Source organism: Homo sapiens, chromosome 3, assembly GCF_000001405.40.
Source record: "Homo sapiens chromosome 3, GRCh38.p14 Primary Assembly".
NCBI lineage: Eukaryota > Metazoa > Chordata > Mammalia > Primates > Hominidae > Homo > Homo sapiens.
This window is the reverse complement of record NC_000003.12, coordinates 162,298,588-162,309,485: the sequence shown is the minus strand read 5'-3', so window position 1 is coordinate 162,309,485 and position 10,898 is coordinate 162,298,588.

The following is a 10,898-nucleotide window of genomic DNA, read 5'->3' as shown; positions in this document are numbered from 1 at the left end:
GAGGATATTAAAATTCCCATGAGTTATCTATTATAGAATAAATCTATTCTTAGTAAAACTTAATGGCAAATAACATTTTGCATTTTCCAATAAGTAGTTTCTACTTATTTTGCTATTAAAATAAAAAATGATCAGAATTATTTTCCATGGCAATAAGATAGCTTTAGAACAACCTAAAGTTTATTAATTTAGAATCAAGAATGTAAAACTATATATAATTTGAACTTTTAATAAAACATTTGCTGTTTGATATTAGAAACTGCACTTGATAAAAGAGCATTAAGCAGGCTCAAGTTTGTGATGAGCAATCATGTTGTATTTTGCTGCAGTTGTAATGACATAGAAAATTGTTTCTTTTTCCATCATCTTGTATTTTGGAATGAAATTAATGTTCCTTAGAACTGAGATGCTCATCTATTTAATCAGCATGATTTAAATAGCATTAGCTTCTCACATATTGCCACATGTTGAACTAATTTGCAGACAGTGACATGGTGAATTATAGATTTTTTAAAAAGCAACACTCAAAAGATTTCGTGCTTGAATAGAAGTACCTGTCCATGGAATATAGTCTTCAACTACTCTGAAGAGCTAATTGTTGTAGTGTAATATATTTGTAATGTAATGTAATTAAATACATTTTAAAGATTATTTTCGGGCAAGTGACATAAGCAAGATGGTGGAATAAGAGTTTCCAGTGCTCACTCCTCAGAAAAATCAATTTTAGCAACCATCCCTAAAGTACGAGTTAAGAAAATACAAATTGATGAGAGTAGGAAGAACATTTTCATATTACCTTTATTACCTCTTCCTTATTTTCTAAGCCCGAGGTTAGTCCCCATGACTTCAGGCACCATGCCTGCACTTATGGACCCAGGTATCAGGGCATTCTCATGGAATCAGGTCCAAGCCTACTTTTGTGGGTCAAGGCACAAGATTTGCTCCAGTGGCAACCCAGTCCCTGAAGACTAAGACCCAATATATGCCCTACTGCCACATCTGACTCCATAAACCCAGGCCTCACACTGAGCTGTCTTGACCAAGTCTCAATGCCTGCTCCCACAGTCTCAGCAGCCAGGACCACCCCATGGGACTCTACTATCTGTCTGGCCCTTGCAGACCTAGGTTCCCTACCCATCTCCATGAACTCAGGCTCTCTGACTGCCACCACAGACCCAGGCAACAGGCAAACCTCTATGGACCCAGATACAAGACCTGCTCACACGTGCTGTCATAGGCACTAGACCAGTCTGCCCAAGGATTCCACTAGCAAGTCTGCCCACAGATCTCCACAGTCGGCCCACTCAAAATCTCTCGATGGGCTGAATGCAGGATTTTCCTGCCAAGGCTAATCTTTAAAGACTGAAAATGGAGGCCGGGCGCGGTGGCTCACGCCTGTAATCCCAGCACTTTGGGAGGCCGAGGCAGGTGGATCATGAGGTCAGGAGATCGAGACCATCCTGGCTAACAAGGTGAAACCCCGTCTCTACTAAAAATACAAAAAATTAGCCGGGCGCGGTGGCGGGCGCCTGTAGTCCCAGCTACTCGGGAGGCTGAGGCAGGAGAATGGCGTGAACCCGGGAAGCGGAGCTTGCAGTGAGCCTAGATTGCGCCACTGCAGTCCGCAGTCCGGCCTGGGCGACAGAGCGAGACTCCGTCTCAAAAAAAAAAAAAAAAAAAAAAAAAGACTGAAAATGGAGCTTACTCTTTAAAGAGTAGACATCAAAACAGAAACACAGAATCATACATAATCAGGGAAATATGGTAACATGAAAGAAATGAAATAAAGCACCAGTAACTAACCGTATGGAGATCTATGAACTTTCTGACAAAGATTTCAAAATAACCATCTTAAAGAAACGCAGTGAGCTGCAAGAGAATACACTAAATAAATTCTAAATAAATTCAGGAAAACAAAACATGAAAATAATGAGAAGTTCAACAAAGATAAACTGCCGTAAAAATAAAGAGAAACTCTGGAACTGAAGAATAAAACTGGGTGAAAAATTGTAGGGAAAGCTGTGATAACAGACTCAATAAAGGAGAAAAGAGAATCAAAGACTTGAAATTAAGTCATTTAAAATTACCTAGTCAATGGAACAAAAAAAAAAGAAAGAAGAATGAAAAATAGTGAGGAAGGTCTGTGAGACTCACCAGACCCCATTAAAAAAATAAATATATACATATATGCACACACACACATACATACACATTATGAGAGTACCAGAATGAGCAGAGAAAGAAAAAACAATGACAGAAAACTTATTGAATTAATGATGACAGAAAGTTTTCCAAATTTGGAGGGGGAAATAGACATTAAGGTTCATTAATCTCAGAGAATCCCAAATGGATTAAACACAACTTCACCAACATAAAGTATAAACAAATTCTCAAAATTCCAAAGAAAATTTTAAAAGCAACAAGAAAAAAGTGACCCATAACATAGAAAGAAACCCCAGGAGGCTGTGAGCAGATTTCTCTTCAGAAATCTGCTTGCAGGGGTAGAGTGAGTTGGAGGTAACATTTAAAGATCTGAGAGAGAAAAAAAAAATCTGCCAAACAAAAGCTATACCTAGAAAATCCCTCCTACAGTAATGACAGGGAGGTAAATACTTTCAAACAAAACATCAGGAAGTTTTTTTTTTCCACTAGATCTGCTTTACCAGAAGCTAAAAGAAGTTCTTAAGTTAAAATAAGATGCTCACTAATAACAGTAAAATGTATGAATGTATACAACTGACTTTAATGGTAAAAGCATAGTAAAATTCAGAATCTTTGAATACTGTAATGGTAGTCTACAAGTCACTTTTGATTCTAGTATGAAAGTTAAAAAAGAAAGATATTAAAAATAGCTGTAGCTACAATAACTTCTTAATTGATTCACTATAAAAAGATGTCAATTATGACAACAATAAACAATGTGGAAAGGGAAGTTAAAGTGTAGACCTTTCATTTGTGGCTTAAGTTAAATTACTAGCAGGTTTAGACAGGTTGTTTAAACTATATGATGCCTTAGGTGAGCCCCAAAGTATCCAAAAAGAAAACAAACTTGCTGACACAAAAGATAAAGGGCAAGGAGTCAATGCACACAAAGTCATCAAATAATAAAGAAAGATAACAACAGAGCAGGAAAGAAGTACAAAAACTATAATAAACAGCCAGAAACAATTAACAAAATGGAAATAAGTTTCATCTATCAATAATTACTCAAATTATTAGATTAAATTTTCCAATTGGTCAAACTCACTGCCTGAAACAGTGAATAGCTCAGGATTCCAGTGATTCAGGTAAAAGGTGGCTAAAGAGATCAATAAATGATTCTTCTAATGGTCTCACTGTCTGCAGCAAGTGGATCTGCAGACTGGAAAATCTCTTTGACTTGTCTATAATTCTTGAGACATTGATCCAGCAGGAGGTACTGACAACTACACACACTCCTCCCAGTTGGATGGAGCAATTCTGTCTAGCAATTAAAGTCTAGAACAATTATGTTCTTTAAAATACTCTTCCTGATGGAGTTGAGGGATGTCTGCTGAGCTGACAAAGCAGTGGCAGTGGAGGAAGTAATACCTGTCATGGACAGGGACAGATTTCTTATCGCTTTTTTATCACTTATCACTGACTCCTATGTATAATACCAAAGATCTCATAAAAGACATAAATGAACTATACTTGGCTTGGTAGGTCTCTAGTAAGCCTGATGTACTCTTCTAGGCAGCATAAACTTGGATTACATTTATTTGTCTGTTTTCTAATTCATTCAGCAATTTATCTGTTTAGCCACTTTCTACCTGAATCACTGGAATCCTGAGCTATTCACTGTTTCAGGCAGGCCTGAGCATCCTGTTTATGGCAGTGATATTCATGGGCCTAGTGAAATACATCTGCCTATGGCTCAATGATGTTGCAAAGAGATTGCATTAATCAAGGTGTACATCAATCTGATGGGACAAACTTCTGCCTCCAGACTGAGGAAAGTTAGTGTGCATGAAAAAATACACTGACTTTTATATGTGTAATATGAAAGATGAGAGGTGAATTGCAGGAGGACAGGCCACTGAATGGCCTCGACCCAGCTCTCTACCTCATCCTGCTTGTAGTTGTCAGAATAACTGTAGAATGTGCCAAAAATGCAGTATCCTAAGATAAGGAGTAATGTTATGGAACATCCTCCTCTGTTGTCCTCGGTTCCAGAGCAGGGTGGCCTGCAATACTTTTTCCTAGTCATCCAAGTATCACTTGGGATATGAAACCCAGAGTAGAGTGCTTTCAGTGTACCTCAACTATGTTACAAAATGGGGCATGTGTATATGAGACTCCAGCCATCTTGGGCAGCTCTTCTAAGCCTTGGGAAATTGGCTTGCCATGGATTCCAGACTTCCGTTGATTGTTGTGAATAATAAAGTTGCTTTGCTAGACTGGAGTGAGTGTTCTTTCTTACCAAACTAGACCTAAGAATGCAAGTTGTAGAGGTATAAATACTGTGGTAGCTGGGTCTGCTTTGATCCCCTGTGTCAAGAATTCTTGCAATGGATGTTAATTACGTTAATTATGGTAATACACACACATATATATACACACACACATATATACACACACACACATATATATACACACATATATATGTGTAATATATAGATGTACACCAAAACATCATGTTGTAATACCTTAAGTATATACAATCATTATTTTCCAATTATGCCTCAATAACCCAATAACCCTGGCAGAAAAAACCTAACTTCGAAATAAATTATTTAAATTTAGAAAATATAGCATAATACACTGGCTTTTCATTTTATTCTTTAAATCCTCATTTCTGGTATACAGATGCAATAATCACTGTAGTATAATCTTTAAGAGTCATTAAAATACAAATATATGGTCTTCAAAAGAAGCTAAATCATTTAGATTTTTCCATTTACATACATTGTACAGTCTTCTATTCTTGCCTCTGGGCTAAGCTGTTTAGTTACTTCCTGGCAGTATTAAATTCAGTATTTATATTTCTAATTGTACCATCATTATTATGTGTACATATGCTTCTATTTCTCTACTAATTCAATAAAACATTTACTACAACTACATTTAAAAAGTTTTTTTTCTTAGTGCCATAATATTCCATTTGCTTTTTAATATTTTTCTCTCAGCTTTAAAAAATTACCTTTGAAAAAGCTATTTAAATACGTTGTTTCTTATGTTAATTTTTCTACCTTTATTTCCTGTGGAAAAATGAAGTATCTTTTGGGAACAATGTAAGATAGCAAAAATAAGAAAGAAAATAGAGGATAAATATATTAAATATAAATAACCTATAATATGTAACTGCTAAACAATTTATTTGCTAAATAAGTAATAAATCACTAAACAATCAAAACAATAGCAAGATAATAGCAATATTATACATTATATCATATGTATTATATGCTATTTTATGCATATATATATACACCAGCCCTTTGATTTGCTTTTCTCTCACTTCCATGTATGCCAATTGGTATTTATATGGTACATCTCCCTTTATACTGCCCTCATTTTTTAGTTCTCTTTTTTGAGGAAAAAAATACTCAGATAGTTATCTACTTATTTGAAAAATATTATTTAAACTCCAATATGTGAAATATATTCTATTAGAAATTCTACTCCTTCAAAATTATACACCATAGCAGAAATATTTAGCATTAACATTAAGAGGAACCTCCTCAAAGACGGCGTTCAAATATAAGAGTTGTATTATCTAAATAATAAATCTTTCTTTCCAGAAGTGCTTAAGAATAAACTTGATGCATCAATAAAGAAATTGTTGATTAATATCAAGATTCCATGTCATTTTGTGATTCTATTGTTAGCAGAAGCAAGTCTGTACGGGTCTGCAGGCACCTCAGTTCCTGACTCCTCAAAAGAAAGAATTTGACCAAGGGACATGAGGCATAGTGAGAGACTGAGGCAAGTTTTAGAGCAGAAGTGAAAGTTTATTAAAAGCTTTTAGGGCAAGAAGTAAGTAAAGTACACTGGGAAGTGGACCAAGCGGATGACTTGAGAGTTTCAATTGTGTGGTTTGACCTTTGACTTGGGGTTTGGTGTGTTGGCATGCTTCCAGGGTTGTGTTATCTCTCCCCTGATTTTTCCCTTGGGGTGGGCTGTCTGTGTGTGCAGTGGTCTGCCAGCACTTGGGAGGGGCCACATGTGCGGTGTGTTTCCCAAAGTTGCACACATGTTCATGTGAGGCATTCTTCCCTTACTAGTCAAGTGTTCCTAGGGGAAAGTCGTATACCAGTTAAATTCTGCCATTCTTCCTCTTAGTACACATTCTTGACCTCATTCACTCAGCTCCTGACATCTTATGGGGAAGCTGCTGATCACCAGCTTTGGGTGTTTTCTATCTATTGGGAGGCTGCATTTCCCTGGCACTGACTGCAAGCTATTATTATTTTAGAGATACAGTTTAGCAGCTGCCTGACCCTCACCTGATGGTCACCTGACATTCCTGGTTGGTCGGGGAGGGCCCTCTCCTGCCCTGTTCATGTCTACCTAACTACCTACTCTAACACTATAATTTATACCAAATAATATATTGATTTGTGCATATATCTTACCTTAACTCATATTGTAACAGAGCATTAGATTATCAGTACATTTTTTTCTGAGAAAGGTATTTTTTTAAATATAACTTTTTGTCTCTAAAATGAAAATTATTTAAAAACCTTATATTATCTATAGTTAAATTGTTTTGATTTCCAGTAACTGTTTATATATCTAGAATATTTTTCAGTGTTTACTAAAATAAGAAGTCATACATTCTAGTTTTTTTTGTTTGTTTGTTTCTCTTCTAGATTAAAAAGAAAAACATAAGGCTGGGAGCAGTGGCTCACACCTGTAATCCAGGCAACTCGGGAGGCTGAGGCAGGTGGATCACTTGAGGTCAGGAGTTCGAGACCAGCCTGGCCAACATGGTGAGTCCCACATCTCTACTAAAAATACAAAAATTAGCCAGGCGTGGTGGTGGGCACCTGTAATCCCAGCTACTCAGGAGGCTGAGGCATGAGAACAGCTTGAACCCAGGAGGTGGAGGTTGCAGTGAGCCGAGATGGAGCCACTGCACTCCAGCCTGGGCAACAGAGCAAGACCCCATCTCAAAAAAAAAAGAAAAGAAAAAAGAAAACCATCACTCTATTCCCAATTTTATTTTTCATACAAGTGAAACTTCTAAAAGCTCATGCTATTAAAGTATAACCTAGGCAGGGATCATGAGTACTGATGGCGAGAATTTAATGGTCCTATCAGTAAAAGTGGTCACATCATTTTCAGTCAACAGTGAGCCCCTCTTCCAAGGTATTCCTTAAAATGCAATCTTTTTGATTAAAATCTAGACTTTTCCTAAAGCTGTCTTTGGCATCCAATGAGAATGTTACCTTCGTCTTATTGTAGCTCCTTTATTTAAACCATTCTTAATTTTTATGAAGATGTCATGACTTAAGATGTTTTTCAAAACAAAATAGCAAATACTAAAACCAGATAATTTTTCTGTCTAATGCAAATATGGGTGGTTTTTTTACTCTTCCTCTTTGCACCTGTTGCTCTTTCTCTTAATGGTCACTCAACTCAGTCATTTTATTATAATGCCATAATTCTCTTCCTAAATTATATCAAGGTAATATTGCAATGCAGGTTAACCAATGTCAAAATTAAATGGTGTTCTATTTAATCCACAGTTTCAAGATAGTTTATAATAAATCTATTTAATATAAATTTAAATTAAATATATAAACATATTATATAAATAAATTATAATATATTTAAGTACTTACAAAAGTAAATATTATTAAGTAAAAAAAGTACTCATGAATACAAATTTACTGGGACATTTTTCTGAGACAAGATTTCCACAACTTTGTTCAGTGAGAAAAGCAATTCAACTTAAATGTATTTTATCTTGGCTGTCCTTTAAAGTCACTATTTACATACTAAAAGGATTTCATAAATACATATCTTCAGCTTGTAAGGTTCTCACAGTATGCCTCCCCACCCTCAGTTTGATAAAGGGGAGGCTGTTAGCCTAGTGAAGCAAATAGTTGGTGTCCCCTACTAGTGAGCTCTATCGCTTGGGGCAACTACTTTTCCTTCCAAAGAATCGGTCAGAACTTATTACTGGGCTTGTTCAGCACTGCACAACAAAGCAGTTAAATCACTGGGACTGTGCGTCAGCCCATGCCTGGCTCATACTGGTCTAGTCACAATTTCAATCAGAGATTGTATGCTTTCCAGCTAAATAATTTGTTGGGGAATGGAGTTGGGGTGGAAGATGTAAAGTGCAAGGCCACCTTCAAGGATGCCTTTAATGAAGGTGCTATAGTGCTCAGGAGTCTCTAACTTATTGCCTAATGATGCTTATCAGAAGACAAACTAGGGTTTAAATTAGTCTTGATATCCAAATTCCCACATGAAAATTTATTGCAAAATGCATTTTCTGTTTTTTTCATAAACCGTAAGCTCAATAAAATTAAACATACTCTATTTGAGTAATGTCTTTACGTATCCATATGTCCTAAAATTATACTCTGATTCTTTGATTGTGTTTTACACTGATACATTTTTTCTCTTTATAAAGGATTAGGAAGCATCAAAGTATAAAATGGAGGCTCACTTAGTGGCTGTGAAGTACACATCAACATGTATCTATGTCTTGTGCCTGCAAGAGCAAGAGAGTGTGGAAGTGAAAGGGACCAGATTTAGCACTAAACAGACCATTCTTATACCTTCTTAATACTCTGATGAGGAAAGTCTCTTATTCTCGGAGCCTCAATTTCTATGTCTGTAACATGGTCAATTCTCTTTCTCTCTTTCTCCTTCTCTCTCTCTCCCCCTCCCCTCCTTGTCTCTGTCTCTCTCACTCTCCCACTCCCTCACCATACTCTTGCCTCATTCTGAGCCTTCCTTGAGAAAGGTCTCTTTCTCAATGCAGGACAGATCATTACAGGTTATGATTTTCCTGTGTCTGGCTAGCTAAGCTTTAAGAACCCGAATTCCCTTATTGGCAAGTTCTAATGTTGATATTTTAGGGGAAAATGCATGAAGCTTCAGCTTGGGGCCCAATAAAGTTCTTAAATACAGCTTTATGAACAACAAAGTGCTCAGGATATTTTAGGTGTCACTTAGCTCCTTAATGTATTGCTCTATTGTTCAGCTTCTGGAGTAGAGTAGGGTGAACAAATGGGATACAAAGAACTCCTATTATTCATGTGAATACATTAGTTTCATGTGAGCATGCCAATTATTCAGATTGGAGAACTCTACATTTTCTATATTCAGAATATTGAAATATTACCTTAATGAATGAGCTAATGTTGTTTACCAAGTTTTCTAATTTATATCTTACTGAGATATTATGAAACTATACTTAAAAAATACAGCCAAGGCTAACATGCAGTAAGGCTGTGATCATTTTATTCAAATTAACTTAAGTAAAGTAATTGTTTAGAATCAGAGTACTGAGAGAGTTTCACTATTAACTAAAGGCTGCCATTCATCATAGAACATCAGTATTAGATTATAATTGAGATGGCTTCTATTCCAACTTCTTCCTGTTATAGAAGATGTAATTGAGGTCCACGGAGGTTAACAGACTTGCCCAAAGTCACCTAGCTAATGAGGCTGGAGTGAGAAAAGTGAGAAAAGTAGAGCCAGGGCTGATAAAGCTGGACAAACTGAAGCATGTGCCGCACAGCTCCAGGAGCATGTGTGTAAGGATCAAACAGGAACCTTAATTATACAATTAAAGCAGAAGCATTCTGATTAGCTCTTAATGGAATAGTATTTTTTCAGGATGAATATTTTAGTTATAAAGGTTTAAACCACAACAAATATATTAATGGTTCATACCTAAGAGCCTAAATGTATATTTCAGATGGTTTCTACAACATAGAAATCTAGCTATGTTTATTGGTGAGTTTCAGAGATGCCTACATCTGATACAAATAGCATTTATGTCACAGAAGTATTAGAACCTTTAAAGTCAGCATTTTATGTTTTAAAATAACTTGAGAGTGTGTATTTTATTTCTACACACCAGTGACTTTGAAGATACTTGGCACAGCTTTCGAACGAATGTTCAGGCACCTTATGATTAATCAAATCAAAACTTTTAAAGAGAATGAACAAAAAACATAAAGTGGTTCTTGTTCCTGGAAATGATTGAGCACATTGAGATTTTACTACACACATTGTAATGGAAAGTGAATTAACAAGAAGCAATTTAGCCATGACAATTTCCTATTTCCACTTCAGCTAGAAATGTTAATCACATGTACTGAAGAGAAGGATAAAAACATAGTGTATAATGATGGGGACTTTGAAACTTTAAATATTAAGAGAAATATACATATTTTAACATCATTTTATTCAAAATTTTAACCTATATCCTAGTTACATTACAGAATGCCTCAAATCTATTTCTTCACCAATTTAAAGAGATGTTGAGATCATGTACAACAGCAGTATGCTATTCTGACTAGTGTCTTCTATTAATTTAAAAGGGTGAGGATGGCTATTTAAACAGTTTTAACAGCTGTATTGTACTTAAAATTGTCTTGGAAATTAACTTTTGACAGAAGGCCAAAATATCTACATGGTATTTTTAATGGCAGCAAAACTTGAATATTTTATGAATGCATAAGAAATATTACTAAGTCATTTTTCATTGGTAATAATAAAGAAGCACATAAGAAAAACAGATAAGCTTGGGAATGAGTAGTGCTAATAGAAAAAAACATGGAAGCGGATATAAGAAGCAGTTTGGGAAAAATGACAAGCTTCAAAAGACTCACTCTTCACTGCAATCATATGTTACACTTTGGAAAAATCTTCTCCATGAGAAATTCAAATTTTATTTGTGGATTCAACCA